The sequence below is a fragment of the Homo sapiens genome, chromosome 11 (assembly GCF_000001405.40).
Source record: "Homo sapiens chromosome 11, GRCh38.p14 Primary Assembly".
NCBI lineage: Eukaryota > Metazoa > Chordata > Mammalia > Primates > Hominidae > Homo > Homo sapiens.
The window spans coordinates 10,179,223-10,198,705 of record NC_000011.10 but is presented as its reverse complement, the minus strand read 5'-3'; the positions used below and the strand labels follow the sequence as shown (position 1 = coordinate 10,198,705).

General features: G+C 36.3%; 1 protein-coding gene across 11 annotated transcripts in view; it reads left to right on the top strand.

Annotated features, from left to right (window-relative positions):
* The window catches only part of SBF2 (SET binding factor 2), a 526,174-nt gene that overhangs the window by 106,136 nt on the left and 400,555 nt on the right, over positions 1–19,483 (top strand). For all 11 annotated transcript variants that reach the window (NM_001425069.1, NM_001425070.1, NM_001424318.1 and 8 more), the window contains one exon: positions 4,719–4,804. In NM_001425069.1, the coding sequence (NP_001411998.1) occupies positions 4,719–4,804 (86 nt within the window). The remainder of the gene's footprint in view (positions 1–4,718; positions 4,805–19,483) is intronic.

Below are 19,483 nucleotides of genomic sequence, written 5' to 3'. Positions count from 1 at the left end.
GCAGCCACACTACAGTAACAGTGTAGACGAAACAGGCTGTATTGGAAGAAGATGCCATCTAGGATTTTCATAGCTGGAGAGCAGAAGTAAATGCTTGGCTTCAAAGAACAGGCTTACTGTCTTTTTAGCAGCTAATGTTGCTGGTGATTTCAAATTAAAGCTGTTTCTCATTTACCATTCTGAAAATTCCAGTGCCTTTAAGAATTATGCTAAATCTACTCTGTCTGTGCTCTGTAAATGGGACAACAATGCCTGGATGACAGCACATCTATTTATAGCATGGTTTACTGAATATTTTAAGCCCACTGTTGAGAACTACTGCTCATAAAAATATTCCTCTCAAAATATTACTGCTCATTGACAGTGCACCTGGTAACATAAGAGCTCTGATGGACATGTATAAGGAGATTAATGTTGTTTTCATGCCTGCTAACACAACATCTATTCTGCAGCCCATGGATCAAGAGTCATTTTGACTTTCAAGTTTTACTATTTAAGAAATACATTCCATAAGCCTGTAGCTGCCATAGGTAGTGATTCCTCTGATTGAATCTGGGCAAAGTAAATTGAAAGCCTTGTGGAAATGATTCACCATTCTAGATGCCATTATAACTTCATAATTCATGGGAGGAGGTAAAAATATGAACCTATTAACCGGGAGCTTAGAAGAAGTTGATTCCAACCCTTATGGATGACCTTGAGGGGTTCAAGACTTTAGTGGGGAAAGGAACTGTAGATGTGGTGGAAATAGCAAAATAACTAGTGTTAGAAGTGGAGCCTGAAGATGTGACTGAATTGCTACAATCTCACGATAAAACCTTTAACAGATGAAGCTTTGCTTCTTATGGATAAACAAAGAAAATGGTTTCTTGAAATGGAATCTACTTCTGGAGAAGATGCTGTGAATTTCATTGAAATGACAAAGGATTTAGGATATTACATCAATTTAGTTGATAAAGCAGCAGCAGGGTTTGAGAGGAATGATTTCAATTTTTGAGAGAAGTTGTGCTGTGGGTAAAATAACATCAAACAGCATTGCATGCTATGGATAAATTTTTTGTGAAAGAAAGTGTCAATCGATATGGCAAACTTCACTGTTGTCTCGTTTTCAATAATTGCCGCAGCCACCACCCTGATCAGTTAGCAGCCATCAGCATCGAAGCAAGACATTCTACCAGCAAAAAGATTACAACTTGCTAAAGCCTCAGATGATTGATAGCATTTTTTAGCAATAAAGCATTTTTAAATTAAAGCATGTACATCTTTTAGGCGTAACGCTGTTGCACACTTAATAGACTACAGTATAGTGTAAACATAACTTTTACATGCACTGAGAAACCAAAAAATTTGTGTGACTCACATTATTGCAATATTCACTTTATTGCTGTGGGCTGGAACCAAACCTGCAGTATCTCCCAAGTATGACTGTAATTGTTTCCAGATCCTCTACCAGTTTGAAAGAACTCAATCTATCTATCAAAGTGCCTCTTAGAGTAGTGTGGTCCCATTTAGGTTCTTTTCTTATAAGGGATACACACCAATTCTAGCTTCAGTAAAAGGAAGAAATGTTGTCAGAATGCCTCAGACATTTGCTGACAGATGCTACAGTGCTGCCACAGTTTACTAGAGGTAGAATCTGGAAAAGAGTATTTTTTCAGGAGAAGTGAGATGAGGTTAAAGATTTGTAAATAAAGACGTTTATTGTAGTATTATTTATAATAGTGAGAAACTAGAAAATGTATGTTCAACAACATTTAAGGCCCTTTGTAAAATATTAAGTAATAAGCCAGTGTATAAAGTTAGGTTCAGTGTGGTATTCATTTTGTAGGAAAAAAAAAATATATATATATATATATATATATATATATTTATGCAAGAAACCTAGGAATAAATGGATAGTCCAAAATGTTAATAATAATTGTCTCCAGGTGTGGGATTATGGGTGCTTTCTTCTTTATATTTTTATGTATTTAAAATCCTTTCTGCACTTAACATTACTTTTATAATTAGTAAAAGATAATATGATTGGGCTGGGTACGGTGGCTTACGCTATAATCCTAGCACTTTGGGAGGCTGAGGCGGGTGGATTGCTTGAGTCCAGAAGTTCAAGACCAACTTGGGCAATGTGGCGAAACCCGGTCTCTACAAAAAATATGAAAATTAGCTGGTTGTGGTGGTCTGCACCTGCAGTCCCAGCTACTTGGAGGCTGAGGTAGGAGGATCGCTTGAGTCTGGGAGGTCAAGGCTGCGGTGAGCGATGATTGTGCCACTGAACTCCAGTCTGGGCAACAGAGTGAGACCCTGTCCAAAAAATAATTAATATGATAAATATTTCTTGAACGTAAAATACATTAGTATGGCTTTCAGAACTGAAAAAACAATGTAGGGATGTGATTAAACATGATAGAATAAGTACATTAATTTATCTCTTTAAAAAGAAGGGAGGAATAAACTTAAAACAATTTCAGTCAGTACCAATGAATTTATTAAAGTAAACATTTTACTCAGTATAGACTATATGCCAGGAATTCAGTATGCCAGGTGCTTGGGGAAACAAGTTGGTTACTGAAAGGAAGTAAGCTTGCTGTCATTTCTTCCAGAAAGTTTTGTATGGTCTTTCTATCATTGAGCTTACGATAACATAACTGAAATTATCAGTTCATTTGTTTGTTTCCCCGAATTGATTATGAGTTCCTTTAGGATAGGGACTATGTCTTTTTCATTTGTGTACCTCCAACACCTAGCAATTTGTTTCATTAACCCTGCTTGGGATGTCGTAAGTGATGATGCTTGAGGTGGATTTTGAAGAATGAGTGCCTATGATAAAAAGTTGGTTTACTCTTAACAAAATCCTTCATTCCCCTATAACAAGAGATAGATAAGTTACTGTACTGCAGCAATTATTCATTTTAATTGAGAATATTTTTATTTTGTCTTTTTCAAATGGATTTTGGTTTGACCTCGTTTCAGAATACAGTTCTGAGTTGGTCAGTAAAGTGAATGTCACTTTCCATTTATATTTTAAACATAAAAATTTGGCCGTAAATTGATTGCAGTTTAGGTGAGGGGCAAGGGAGAAGTTGCATTCATAGAGATGAGGTTGAGAAATCATAGTGGATGATTTTTACAGTATATTAACAAAATGAATTCGTTGTGAAGACTTCCTCAAGTTAGGTATACAAAACAAATAATCAGAATATTGTTGCCTTCATTTCATATGAACTAGGACAACATGTAGAATATGCAAGGAACATGAAGATCTTAAAAAACTATAGCAAGAATTAGTTTAGATTTAACATGTACCTTCCATCCCCAGTTTACTCACAAATTACATCCCCAAAGTTCAATGGGAAGTTGATTCCTTCTTCGGTGTCACAGGATAATTTTATAACAACAGTGATAGAGATCTGTGGTCTTCAACCCAGGGAACGTTTGTCAACATCTGGGGACATTTTTCATTGTAACATCTTGCTGGTGGTAGAGGGTGCTACTGGAATCTAGGAATTGAGACTAGGAATACTGCTAAACATCCTACAATGCACAGGACAATCCCCATTCCCCCAAAGAAGTATCCATCTGCAAATGTCAGTAGTGCTGATGTTGGGAAACCCTGCCTAAACAATGGTCAAGTTCCCAGGCCAGCCTCAGAAACTTTAACCAGTAACAGTATTTATAGCCCATAACTGAAACTTAGTGCTAGCAGTGCCATTTCATTTGTTACTTGAAATTATTTCATCTCCATAGAAAAGTTCTTCTTAAATTTCAATTTGGGATTAATTTCCTTATTGGGGCACAAAGGGCAGTTACTCCCATAACGTGGTAGAGACTAGATTTCAATGCCTCTGGCTAGTGTTTTTTAGCTTTTCATACGTATCAGTCAGTCTTACAGAATAATGGCCAGGTGCAGTGGCTCACACCTGTAATCCCAGCACTTTGGGAGGCCAGGGCAGGTGGACCACTTGAGGTCAGGAGTTCAAGACCAGTCTGGCCAACATAGTGAAACCCCATCTCTACTAAAAGTACAAAAATTACCTGGGCATGGTGGTGGGTGCCTGTAATCCCAGCTACTCGGGAGGCTGAGCCAGGAGAATCGCTTGAACTCGGGAAGCGGAGGTTTCAGTGAACCAAGATCATACAACTGCACTCCAGCCTAGACAACAGAGCAAGACTCTGCCTCAAAAAAAAGTGTTTATAGAATAGAGATTGCCTGTTATTTCTGTATAGTCATCCCTGGGTATTTGCAGGGGATTTGTTCCAGAACCCTCACGGATACTAAAATCCATGGATGCTCAAGTTCCTTATATAAAATGGTGTAGTATTTGCATATAACCTATGCATATTTTCCTATATACTCTAAATAATTTCTTAATTACTTATAATACCTAATACAATGAAAATGGTATGGAAATATTTGTTATACTGTATTTTTAAGATTTGCATTTTTAAATTGTTGCATTGTTAATTTTATTGTTTTTTTCATCCCAAATATTTTCAATTCATGGTTGGGTGTCTCCTGCAGATGCAAAACCCATGGATATGGAGGTCCTACTGCATAATGTTTAGATGATGCATACTCACATGTTTTTTAAAACTTGAAAATGTTTAATCAGTTTATTAACTTATTTACCAAATATTCATTTAGAAATAAGTAAGAGTAGAATGAGTATTTGTAGTTTTTAGTGTCCTATAATAATGATTCACTTTGATTTTATTAACAGGATCAGGAGAAGGTCTGGGGAAAATAATCCAGAGATTTCCACAGAAGGACTGGGATGATACACCTTTTCCACAGGGAATTGAGTTGGTAAGTGGTTGTTGTATTATTGCATATTTATAATGTTACTTTTCTTTTTTGTCACATTGATTTTTACATTTATGTTACATTTGCTGTTAAATAATTTGATAATTTAATTGTAAGATATTACAGTACTAGAAATAGTTATCTTCCCTCCTAGTCCCTCAAGTACGGTCATCTTTGAATATATTAATTCTAGAATGCCTATTTTGCTCTTCTTTTTCTCATTTAAATTTCTAATATTAAAGCTGAAATTGAGGGCCAGGCGCGGTGGCTCATGCCTGTAATCCCAGCACTTTGGGAGGCCAAGGCGGGCGGATTACGAGGTAAGGAGATTGATACCATCCTGGTAACACGGTGAAACGCTGTCTCTACTAAAAATACAAAAATTAGCCGGGCGTGGTGGCGGGCGTCTGTAGTCCCAGCTACTCAGGAGGCTGAGGCAGGAGAATGGCATGAACCCGGGAGGCGGAGCTTGCAGTGAGCCAAGATCGTGCCACTGCGCTCTAGCCTGGGCGACAGAGCAAGACTCCCTCTCAAAAAAAAAAAAAAAAAAAAAGATGAAATTGATGATTTTCATATACTCAAAAGCAGAAAAATTCCACTGCTTCTTTAGTAAAAGTCTTAGCCTAGTAACTTCAGGGATACACATATATATATTTTTTTTTTCCTGAAAATGTCCAGGTTATTGTCTTAGTAAAAACAAAACAAAAAACACAGATAAATAAAAAACCAAAAGTTCATTTAATGTTGACCAGTCATGGCTTGAATTTGATCTTAAAATCACAAATTAGATTTCTTTTGTTTTTAGCTACAAGGTCTGAAGGTTATTTTATAATAGTGCAGTTCAACTCCTTTTGTTGTTGTTGTTACCCGTTTTAAAGGAATTTATTGGTTGAACATAATTTATGCTACCCAAGATATTCTATCTGGTGGTGGATCCATGGTGGTAAACTGAGGGACTAGAAAGGTGATTACTAAAGTACTTTGTAATATGTCTACGAAGTTTGGTTCTCCAGATTTACTGGGGGTGTGTGTGTGTACTTATTTATATTGTGTTTATGGATATGCACACACATAAACACATAGAAGCAGTGTCTTCAAAGCAGTCCTGTTGAGAGGACATTTGGTATAACATGATACTTAAGAGTGCAGGCTCTGGAGCAGAGTGCCTAGGTTAAAATCTCAGCTGCGTGGTATGACTTTTGACAAGTTGCTCAACTACTTTGAGCCAGCAGAATACTTATCTATAAAATGAGGATAATGATTATATTAATCTCATAGGTTGTTGTAAAGATAAAGTGGAAAAAATACACATAAAATGATTAGAACAATGTCTTCCATAAATGAGTTGTCCCATTGTTTAATTAGTATTGTTGCTGTTTGTTCAACATATCTCAGCACCTTACCCACAGGAACAATTGTTCATTCTCTTGTTGGCATGGATCAGAAATATCTGTTAGATATTTTGTATTGAAAATTGTAAATTTTCTCGTCGTAGCTAATAACTGTCCAGTTTTGCTTCACTGAAAATTAAAGATACATTGCTAGGTGCTTAGTTTTGATTGTTATAACTCAGCCATGTAAAGAAAGCTGAGGGTTCTGTAGGCCTACAGAGGGGGTAAATCTTGAATTTTGGCATTAAAAATGGGGAAGGAATGTGAGGATCCAAGGAAAATGGCTTTTTGGAAAGCCCTTTGCATTCCTTTCTCTTTTTCCCCATATGCCTGCAAATACCAGTAATTGGCCTTACAGTGTGAATAAGCAGGCATTTGTTCTATAAAAGCTTTTAAACCCTGTTTCAATGTCCCTTTTAGTGTGATTGAGGGGAAATTTTTGGTGCTAGGGACCTGTTAGAACTTATTGTGGGTTCCTACCTCCATTCACATCAAAGTGTGGAGAGATATAAACTATACCAATTTAACAGTATGAGCAGTGACTCACCTTCATAAGTTTCAGGAACCAACAGACATCATAGAGGGAGAAGGGAAATCATGGATTGGCATAGCTATTTAGCTAGGACAGAGAAAGGATAGTGTTGTTTTGAAAACCAAGAGAATAGATACCTATGATACCTCTCTTATTTCTCCAGTAGCAAGGGAGAGAAACATACTGATTTTACTACTTAGTAAATAGATATTTTCTCTTTGTATGACAGACACTGCCATGTTCAAGTGCTATAAATGTTTCTCCAATAAGTGGAGTCATGTGCTGTTAGAATAGTGAAATGGAGGTGCTAAGAGTTAGACAGAACTTTTCCTCCCTAAGATTTTCCTAGATGACTTCTTGGCATATTCTTAGCATAGCATTTCAAGATTTGTTGGGCTAGATTAATATTTAAAGAGTAATCTGTTGGATTACGTCAGAAATTTTCTTTTTCCTTTTCCTTTTTCCATAATGGATCGCAATTTCAATTCTTTAATGTCTATGGTGTTGTCAAGTACAAAATAAATTTATCTTACATCTATCAAAGTCCATTTTAAAAACAGAATAAATCACTATTAATTTTTTATTGTCCAGTCTTTATTGCCTTATTTTTGCATATCTTTAGAGAGTGTGAATATTCTGTATATGAACAACAATAGCTTGAATAATTGTGATGCCTTATGTGATCTTGAGTAACCCTGCGGCTTCAAGACCAAAGATAGATATAATAAAATTTTAGTCTAATTGAAGGTGATCTGGCTTAATCCTTAAGTGGTTTGTTGTTTCCAGTGTAGTCGTGACCCTTTTCTGATGATTTATGGGAAAAATTCTTACCCCTTCCATAATGGTGGAACAACATTAGCATGTAACATTCATGTTAATATGTAGCAGTTGTATAGGATTAATAGATTGTGATGAACTCACGTACATAATGGTGGTAGTATATTAATTCACAAATAAGTAAACAGAGGCTTAGGAAATTTAAATAACTTTACTGAGATCTAACAGCAAGGATACAGCAGAGCTAGGATTCAAACCCTGATCTTTTGACTCTTAGTGTCAGCCAAGATCTGAGAGATTTCTAGGAGTGACACTTTTAGCTGTGGTTAGCATTTTAGTGTAAATGGTTAGTCTTTTAGTGTAAATGTAGAATTCTGTGATTTGGAAGAACTAAGGTTGAGAAATGTTAAGAGAAGGCTGTGTTATTGAATAGGGACCAACTTTATTATTTATTTTATCTGAGAACACACATGGGCTCACAATATAATATTATATTCAAATTATTTTCTGTTGCCACTTCTCCTTCCCAGGGAACACATAATTGATGTATGTAAGTTCTAAATGAAAAATAGATATGTGTTCAGCCTTACAACTGGTGGAAAAGGATTTTAGGCATTCATTCACTAATCAAATTCCAAATTTAATTTAGAGGATGCTGAATTTCTTTTTCCATTTTTACATAAAGAAATTGCCTTCTATTTTTCTATTGAAAAATGGTAAACTTTAATTCGGATGGATTTTAAAAATAAAAATATGAAAGTAAGCTAAACCAAACATAATGACTACTTTTCCAATTCTGGGATATTTTTATCTTTCTCTTGTGCTTTTTAGGCATACACGAAAACCACAGACAGTCATATAAATAAAGTTGCAGTTAATTTTAGTGACAGCATTTCAAAGAAAATTGTTTTTCAGAGGCATTCTATGGTTAACAATCTATTCCTGATTATATGAACAATATTTTTATTGGCTAGATCAGAGACATCTAAACAGCTTAAAGAATTAAAGCAAAATTGTATTGTTTTGACCTTAGCTCCTGTTTTTTTTTTTTTTTAGACGGAGTTTCACTCTTGTTGCCCAGGCTGGAGTGCAGTGGCGCAATCTTGGCTCACTGCAGCCTCTGCCTCCCAGATTCAAGCAGTCCTCCTGCCTCAGCCTCCCAAGTAGCTGGGATTACAGGCATGTGCCACCACACCTGGCTAATTTTGTATTTTTAGTAGAGACAGGGTTTCACCATGTTGGTCAGGCTGGTCTCGAACTCCTGACCTCAGGTGATCCCCCTGCCTTGGCCTCCCAAAGTGCTGCGATTACAGATGTGAGCCACCACACCCAGCCGACCTTAGCTCCTTTTTAAGATGCCCTGTTTTAGGAGTGAATTTTTTTATATCATTATTCAGAAAATATGCCACAATCTCAGTAGGGCATGCCTGTACTAAGGTTTTTGTTAGATGTACCTGATTTTTTTAGAAGACTAAAGTACTGTAGTAAATAAATTTTGTGGCTTGAAAAAGAGAAGCATTCAGTTAGAATTTCTAACTTTAATGTTCTTACGAAATTGGTTCTGTTATTTAAATTATACACTAGCAATTTGACTACCTGCCCTATGAATTCAGTCTTCTGTAAATGTAGATTGAGGAGAAGAGAGGAAAAAGAGCTTGTATTCCACATTGTGCAGGTGTAACATAGGAAAAGTAGCTTTAATATGGGATGTTATTTGAGGACAGAGAGGTAAATATAAGTACCATGTAATGCTTTAATTCTTTAAGCTGTTTAGAATGCAATACATACAATAAATGGGTAGCAATCATCCATCTGACATAGATGTAAATACTGTTTGGTTAGAAGAGACTTTTCTCTTCCTTTTTGTAGAAGAATATGCTTGAAAGGAGAATGAGATGACAGAATCAGGGTTCACAAACATTTTAAAAGGCAGGAGTTATGGGATGTTTAAGAAAATGAAATATAATAAGTAAAAATTTAAGTTCTTGCATGTGAGTATATAAAGCTAGATTTATAAGTAATTATTTAGAATAAAGATAGGCAGATACTATCCAGCTAGAGAGGTTTGAGAAATAGAAGAAGACAGATTTTAAAAAGTTTATAAAAGGTATGTATGGTAGATACTGTAGATGGAATCTAAAGCCTCTGTCCTGAGGTAAGGTGCGAGGTAAAATACACAGTTTTAAAGATGGTCCAAAGCTTGGTATAAACCGTGTGTGGAAGGACTCTTGATTTGGCATAGAGTTGAGGCTGAAAACTTAAGAAAACTGCTACGAAGTATGAAGACCTGGCTTTTAAAACATACTAAGAACTATAAAAAGGATTTTAAAAGTTATGTTCACAACAAAGCAAGTGGATATAAATGGAGTTTAAGCTAGAAAATGGTGGTTTGAGCTCATATTTTTGGTACCCACTCCCAGACTGTTGTCTCTTTGAAGTAATAAAACCACAGGGCAGGGAACCTCATGAAGTCTGGAAAGTGCATGTGAGGTAGTAGATTATTTTATCATCTCTGAGGAAGAGATTAATTAATCTTGGTGTTATGATTCTAATACACTCCTCCATACTCACTACAATGGTTTGTTTATCCTGTACTAGAACTAGTGTCTCTCAATTCTGCTTATTTTGTCAGTGCATCGATACCCTCAGTTATGCTAGAAAATCTTTCCCCTACAGTCACGTACTTCACTTCTGCTCTCAGAACCACTTTAGACAAAGTTTTCTTGTCATGCTAGGGTTCTGCTCTACCTGATGCTTTAAGACCAAAGAGAACTTCCTGAGGAAGATGTAGAGCTACACAGGCCTGACCCACTACATCTGTGTATTGTTTGCGGACAGCCTGGACTTCGTTACATGGTATCATACTGCTACTCATCTCTCATGTGCTTGTCTGTCATATCACCCTTATGGCTTATCCTGTACTTCTTAAGTTCCAGTTCCTTTTTGCTACTATTCTATTTCTATTCATCCCATTTCCATTGTATCTATAATTTTAGCAAAAAAAAATTTCTTGACTTTATGTTTTAGCTACTATCCTATTTCTTCTTTATTATAAAATGTTTTCAGTGAGTCTTCATTTGCTGTCCCAATTTCTCTAAGAGACTAATGTGGTTCAGTAGAAAGAATACGGGATTTGAAATTTAAAAGCCTTGAGCGAAGTTAATTTACTCTCTCTGATAATAATAATTTTCCTACAGGGATGTTATTAGATGATCATCTGTTAATATTTTAATATTTGTAATGTTACAATTTGTTGTTATTTACTCTCATTTCATACCTCTATCTCACGCACATTGCAGGGATTTATTCTGAAGTATAGTTTATGTCCTGTCTGTTCTGAAATCACAAAGTTGAAGTTAATTTTTTCTGAATTGGTTAAGGTAATGCTAGCTTTTGTAATAGATATACCTGGAAATCTTAGTAACTTAACATAATAGAAGGTTTTTTTTCCCCTTATTTACATAATGGCTAATTAGTGGCAGTAGGGTAGATGGGAGTGGGGTTTGCCATTTTCAAAATGTGGTCTTGTAACGAAAAAGCAAGTTAGATGCCCACTAAATGTAGAGTTCAATTAACAAGAGTGATGTCTGATTAAAAAAAAAAAAAGTGAGTTTATTCCAAAGCTCATTGGGGGGAAGAGGCACAAAGCATTCTTCTTTTAAATGTCCCACTTCACCTTTGGAGCAGAAAGCAGGCATTTTTATAAGGCAGGGGAGGAGATGAGCGAAGGCAGGGGTCCCCCTGCTACCAGGCAGTTATCTACTAGGCAGTTGGGTTGGCACCTTCCTGGGAAAAGTTGTAAAAGGTGCCAAGTGGACATGCTTTCAGCAAGCCCTCCAAGTAGGTGTAAGTTCTGAGGCAGGTGGAGAGGGGACGCAGGGAGAGAGAGAGAGAGAGGAGAGAAAAAGGAGAGAGAGAGAGAGAGGAGAGAGAGGAAAAAGAGAATAATTAAATCACCTACAGAAAAATGGGGGTACTTGGTTACAGTCCTCAGGGTCTTCTTAGGCAGCAGTAGTTGGTCGTCAGAGTAGTAAGAGAAAGCATGGAGGATAGTAAAAGTTAGTTTTATGGGATATGTCTGGAGGCAGTATATATTATCCATATTCTATTAATCAGAAGTCAATCACAAAGCCAGTTAGCTGTAATAGGAGATTGGTAAATAAACCCTAGATGTGTGCTTAGGAGAAGAAGGAAACAGATTTACTGAACAAATAGCTTTCCTCTGCCACACTGTTCATGCTGAATCCAAAGATTGTTTCCCTTATCTTAATTTTCCTTGACCATTTTATTTTTTGACCTCATTAATTTGGTCTTTGTGGTATAATGAAAAAATAAATGTTTGGTCTTTGCCCCCAGTTTCTGGCACAGAGCTCCTGAAACCTTTGTGATTTACTGTGTTTTATATGCCAGTGAGATGGCTCTTGGGTTGAGAGGCCCTAAATAGTTTCAGGATAGGGGCTGGTCACCAGAGGAAGCAATTATGCATTTAGTGGGTTGGAACTTTCACCCCCAGTGGGGAGAGAGAAGGGCTGGAGATTGAGTTTAGTCACCAATGGCAATGATTTAACCAGTTATGCCTACTTAGTGAAACCTCCATTAAAACCCCTAGATAACAGGGCTCAGAGAGCTTTTGGGTTGATGAACACATTTTTTTTGATTGTTTTAAAGAGACACAGGATCTTACATACTCTGTCATCCAGGCTGGAGTGCAGTGGTGTGATCTTAGTTCATTGTAACCACGAACTCCTGGACTCAAGCGATCTCCTGCCTCAGTGTCCAGAATAGCTAGGACTACAGGTGTGTGCCACCATGCCCAGCTATTTTCTTATTTTTCTTAGAGACAGAGTCTGTCTTTCCCAGGCTGGTCTCAAACTCCTGGCCTCAAGTAATCTCCTCACCTCGCCCTCCCAAAGCACTGAGATTACAGGCATGAGCCGCTGTGCTTGCCCAATGAACACACTAATGTCTTGTGAAAGTGGTACACCTGAGAGAGGGCATGGTCCCTGCCATACCTCACTCTGTATATCTCTCCCACTTGTCTGTTTCTTAGTTGTATCCTTTATAATCAAGTGGTAAATATAAATATCTTTTTCTAATACTAAATTTCTAATATGAGGTAAGTTCTGGGTAACAAATAGCCTGGAAGATTAAATCACAGCTCGTTCATGCCTAATTTCAGTTTCAGCAATTTATCTTATCCTTAATCTGAAACTAGGGTAACTGTGTCTTATTCAAACCAGAATGTTTTTGAGAGTGAAAAGGATTGAATCAAAAATATGCATAAACTGGAGCTATCTAGAACCAACTGATTTGTATGGTTACTTATATATATGTGTATGTATGAATTACCTGTATGCAAAAGGTTGGAAACTATCTAAATGACCATTAGTATGGGGACTCGTTGAATTAGCGGTACCACAGCCACTCATCAGAACATAGTACAGCTGTTAAAAAGTACGAGATAAGGAGATCTACAAGCACACGAAAAGATGCTAACATCACCAATTATTAAGGAAATGCATATTAAAGCCACCATAAGATACTATTGCATGCCCATTATTATTGCTATTAAAAAAAAAAAAAAAAGCCAAGCACAGTGGCTCACATTTGCAGTCCCAGCAACTGGGGAGGCTGAGATGGAAGGGTCACCTGAGCCTAGTAGTTGGAGGCAGCAGTGAGCTATGATTTGCACCACTGCAACTCCAGCTTGGGTGATAGATGAGATTCCAACTCTAAAAAAAGCCCCAAAACAAAACAAAAATCCCAGAAAATAACAAATGTTAGCAAGATTAGGGAGAAACTGGAACTCTTGTGCACTGTTGGTGGGAACGTAAAATGGTGCAGCCACTATGGAAAATGGTATGGAGAGTCTTCAAAAAAAATTGAAAATAAAATTACCATATGACCTAACAATTTCACTTCTGGGTATATCCTAAAAGAACTGAAAGCTGGGATTCAAACAGATATTCATACACATGTTTATAGTAGCATTGTTCACAGTAGTCAAATGGTGGAAGCAACCTGAATGTCCATAGACAGATGAATAGACAAGTGAGATGTGATACACGTGTGCACGCACACACACACCCCCCCCCAGAATATTATTCAGCCTTAAAAAGGAAGAAAATTCTGACACATGTTACAACATGTGCCAACATTTGTTGTGTTATGCAAGGTTCAACCTGAAGGATGAACCTTGGGGACACTATGTTAAGGGAAATAAGCCAATCACAAAAAAACACAAATACTAGGAGATCGAGACCATCCTGGCTAACACGGTGAAACCCCGTCTCTACTAAAAATACAAAAAATTAGCCGGGCGTGGTGGTGGGCGCCTGTAGTCCCAGCTACTTGGGAGGTTGAGGTGAGAGAATGGCATGAGCCCAGGAGGCAGAGCTTGCAGTGAGCGGAGATCACGCCATTGCACTCCAGCCTGGGCGACAGAGTGAGACTCCGTCTCAAGCAACAACAACAACAATAAAAAACAAAACAAAATACTGTGTGATTTCACTAATATGAGAGACATAGAGTAATCAAATTCATACAGGCAGGAAGTAGAATGGTGGTTGCCAGGGGCTGGGGAAAGGGAGGAATGGCAAGTTGTTTAGTGGGTATAGATTGTGAATTTTGCAAGATGGAAAGAGTTTTGGAGTTTAGTTGCACAACAGTGTGAATGTACTTAACACTATCTGAACTGTCCACTTAAGATTGTTAAGATGATAAATTTTGTGTTATATATATTTTACTGTAGTTAACTTTTTAAAACAGTATGAAATAAAGCTTTATGTACTGAAATGAATAAATCTCTAAGGCATATTTTATAGCAAGTAGCCAAAAACTATCTGGGAAAAAAAGAACAAAGTTTGGAAGACTTATACTACCTGGTTTCAAGACATCCCATAAGGCTCAATAATCAAGACAGTATGGTATTAGCTTAAGGAATAGACATGTAGATCCATGGTACAGTCTAGAAGCAAACTCACATATATATCATGAATTTATTTCTTTTTTCTGAAATGTTCCACTTTATTGAAAGAAAAGCATGTGTTATCTTTTTTGTTTTTTCCTTTTATTTTTAGTTGATATGTAATAATTCTACATGTTTATGGGAAACAGGGTGATATTTCAGTACATGTATGCAATGTATAATGGTGGAATCAAATTAGTGTATCCATCACCTCAAATACCTATCATTTCTCTGTGTTGTGAACGTTCAGAATCTTCTAAGTTTTTGAAAATATACACTAAATTATTGTTAACCATATTCACCTTAACGGTGCTACAGAACACGAGAACTTATATTTCCCATTTAGCTATGACTCTGTGTCTGTTAACCAATCTCTTCCTTTCCTTCCCTCCCCACATCCTTCCCAGCCTCTAATAACCACAATTCTACTCTCTGCTTCTATGAGCTCAAATTTTTGTTTTTTGTGTTTTTAGCTTCTACATATGGATGAGAACACACAGTAGTTATCATTCTGTGCCTGACTTCATAAATTGGTTTTTGGACCGAGTTGCTAATGTAATTCAGTTGTGGAAGTGATAAGCCCAAATGGTGCTAGAACAACTGGATATCCATTTAGGAAAAAAATGAGCCTTGACCCTTAAACCATACACAAAAAGTAACTTGAAATGGATCATAGTCTAAATGTAAAAGCTAACACTATAAAGTTTTTAAAAGAAAACTTAGGATTTTGAGACCTTTAGTTAAGCCAAGATTTTTTAGAGAGAATGTCAAAACCGTGACTGATTAAAGTTTCTCTGGATTTCCTGAAAAACCTTGAAAAATAGTATATAACCATGCAGAAAAGGTGGATAATACAATAGCAATAAGCCCCATTTTTTTTAGAAGTTTCCCTTGGATCTACAGAATCTTTGGATGCTACTTGGGCCTTCTAGTTTTTACTATTTACCATTGGAAAGGAGGAGGACGCTGGAAGAAATGAGAGGATGTGGGACGCTTTAAGCAGCGCTTTCACCTAGAAAGGGAGAGCAAAGTTTACTCAGGTGTTATTTTTGCCAGATGCCAGGTTTTCTTCTTCAAGCCAGAATTTTGGGTATATTAGAAAATGTGGGGTGATGATCACCCTGGGCAACATGGTGAAACCCTGTCTCCACAAAGCATAGAAAAACTGGCCAGGCACAGTGGCTCACGCCTGTAATCCCAGCACTTTGGGAGGCCGAGGCGGGCGGATCACAAAGTCAAGAGATCAAGACCATCCTGGCCAACATGGTGAAACCCTGTCTCTACTAAAAATACAAAAATTAGCTGGGCGTGGTGGCGCGTGCTATAGTCCCAGCTACTCGGGAGGCTGAGGCGGGAGAATCACTTGAACCCAGGACACGGAGGTTGCAGTGAGACGAGACATCGCCACTGCACTCCAGCCTGGCGACAGAGCAAGACTCCGTCTCAAAAAAAAAAATTAAAAAACAACAAACAAACAATAACAACAACAACAACAACAACAAAAAGACATAGAAAAATTAGCTGGACATGGTGGTGCTTGCCTGTAGTTCCACATACTTGGGAGGCTGAGGTGGGAGGGTCGCTTGAGCCCAGGAGGCAGAGATTGCAGTGAGCCGAGATTGCACCACTGCATTCCAGCCTGGGTGACAGAGTAAGACCCTGTCTTAAAATAAACAGACAAAAAAAAAGTCAGGTGATTTTGACAATAAGACTTCTTTCTTGAAGTTTTGATTGCTGTAAATGGTAGCCAACTTGAGATATTAAAATCATTATGTGAAAGACTTTGTGATATGCAAGAAAGAATACTGAACTCTAGGATTTTATGTATCTGTATGTTTATATTTATGTATATATAGAGAGGTGTATATTTAAATACATAATTTGCTTATAAAGGACAACAGCAATTTGAGAGAACACCATCTCTCTAGGTCATTCCTGTAGGTCATCTCTCTAGGTCTACTTTCAAAGGTACGTAAGGAATGAATTTTTATATTACCTACCCCCCCATTTTGATCTCATAAAGCTTTTTGTCGAATTATACATCTATACATCCATACATCCTAATTACTGTACGAAATATGTTTACATCTTTTTGCTTGACTTTGAATAATTCTTTGAGAGTTTCCAGTTACGGATATTACCATGTATGGTCATCTCCTTGTAACTTAGCTTAATTTAAAGTACCTTTAAGCTAGCCAGAATAACTTGCAAATCTGTTGATTTAATAAGATGAAGTATTTGGTGGCCTCTAGTGGTACTTATGTGTCTATAAAAAGTCACCAATGTACAAAATTTTAGGGTGAGAGTTACTAAGGTGACAAAGTAAACACATATGTGTATTTATTGAAGAAAAGTTTTTTAGTCTTTGAGAACTAAAAGCTCATTAATCAAATATAAATTTATCAATGATATGGCTGTATCTACTTTTATAGCAAATTATTATCACCACTAAACTTTCCTCACTTTCAAGAAATGCCTTGGAATTATACTCATATCTCTTAATTGGGAGAATTTTTATGTAACTTGTATTTAACATTCAGAAATAGTTTACTATTGCATTGAATTGAGATGTGTCCAGGAAGGAGGATGGTGGGAATATTTCTGACCTCTTTTGAAATGTAATGAAAGCTAAAAAGGGAGTCACAATTTCATAGATTAATTATAAAGATAAAAGTCCTTAGTAAAATGTACTTTTTTAAACAGTTAATTCTGGCTAACTCTTAAAGATACTTTAAGTCTGGCCAAAAATTATCTAGAATCTGAACTGCATGTAGAAATTTAGAAAAATCACTTCAAAAATTGGGAAAATTTGTATAAAGTTAAGATTTAGAAAACCAAAGAGAAAAGTGACAGTTTTAGGTAAGTTATATTTATTTCTTAAATGCTAAAATTCATTCATTAAAAAAATTAGAAATTGAAATCTCAGATTTCATAGCTTGCTCAGTGTTATGTAGCTACTTAGTAATTGCTGAGATGATAATAAAACCCTGGTCTTTTGATTCTCTGCTAAAGCTTTTCTAAAACTATTCTGCTAGTAGTATTATATGAGAAAGCTGATTTTTAAAAAAGTTTTCTTTATTTCTGATACTTAAAAAATTAATAGACTAAGCCCTAGATTCCAATTAGGATGGTTTAAGTGGCGTTAGAAAGACACTTAGAGAAAAAGCATTTTAACATTAAAATCAGAAGAGTGTAATGACATGAGTACTCGGTGCTTAGAGAGTTGGCAGCTTTTATTTTTTCCAAAGATAGACCATATTTACCAGAAAAACCTCTAATATCTGTGAAATTAGGAATAGCTTTGATTATGACAGCCACAGTGTTCTAATGAAAAAGTTAGATTTTACTATTGGATTCAAAACCAAGTGAAAGATTTCAATAAAGCTAAGGAATGCATCAGAGTCTCTTAACAGCAGCAGAATTGATCAAGTGGAAGAAAGAATTTGTGAGCTTGAAGACAGGCAGAACACCAAAGAAAAAAGAATGAAGCATACCTACAAGATCTAGAAAATAGCCCCAATGGGGCAAATCTAAGAGTTATTGGCCTTAAAGAGGAGGTAGAGAGAGATAGGGGTAGAAAGTTTACTCAAAGTGATAATAACAGAAAATTACCCCAAACTAGAGAAAGATATTAATATTGAAGTACAAGAAGGTTATAGAACAGCTAGCAGATTTAATCCAAAGAAGAATATATCAAGACATGTAATATCAAACTCCCAAAGGTCAAGGATAAAGAAAGGATCTTGAAAGCAACCAGAGAAAAGAAAGAAATAACATACAATAGAGCTCTAGTATGTCTGACAGCAGATTATTTCATGGAAACTTGACAGGCCAGAGAGAGTGGCCTGATATACTTAAAGTGCTGAAGGAAAGAGGCTTTTATCCTAGCATAGTATATCTAGCAAAAATATTCTTCAAACACGTGGGAGAAATACTTTCCCAAACAAAAGTAGAGGGATTTCATCAACACCAGACCTGTCTTACAAGAAATGATAAAGGGAATAGCTCCATCAGAAAGAAAAAAACATTAATAAGAAATAAGACATCATCTGAAGGTACAAAACTCACTGGCAATACTTATAACACTGTAACTGTCATGTGTAAACTCCTCTTAAATAGAAAGACTAAAAGATGAACCAATAAAAAATAAAAACCACAAGGACTTTTCAAGACATATACAGAGCAATGAGGTAGAAATAGAAACAACAAAAAGTTAAAAAGTGGGGGAACAAAGTTAAAGTATAGAGTTTTTATTTTTCTTTTTGCTTGCTTTTATGCAATTAGTGTTAACTTGTCATTAAAGTAATTGGTTATAGGATATTATTTGCAAGCCTCATGGTAACCTTGAATTGAAAAACATACAACAAATACACACAAAACAAAAGGGGGTAAAAATAAAAATAAATGAAAACATACCACCAGAGAAAATTACCTTCACTAAAAGGAAGACAGGAAGGAAACAAGGAAGAGAAGACTGCAAAACAACCAGAAAACAAATAACAAAATGGCAGGAGTAAGTCCTGCCACATGCATCCAACACTGGAGCACCCAGATATATAAAGCAAATATTATTAGAGCTAAAGAATAGACACCAGTACAATAATAGCTGGAGACTTCAATACCCCACTTTCAGCATTGGACAGATCGAGACAGAAAGTTCAATAAAGAAACATCACACTTAATCTGCACTATAAAACAAATGTACCTAATAGATATCTATAGAACATTTCATCCAGCAGCTACAGAATATATGTTCTCCTCAGCACATGGATCATTCTCAAGGATAGGCCATACATTAGGTGACAAAAATAAGTTTTTTTTGTTTGTTTGTTTTGTTTTTGTTTTTTTTTGTTTTTTTGTTTTTGTTTTTTGTTTGTTTTTTAATTTATTATTATTATACTTTAAGTTTTAGGGTACATGTGCACAATGTGCAGGTTAGTTACATATGTATACATGTGCCATGCTGGTGTGCTGCACCCACTAACTCCTCATCTAGCATTAGATATATCTCCCAA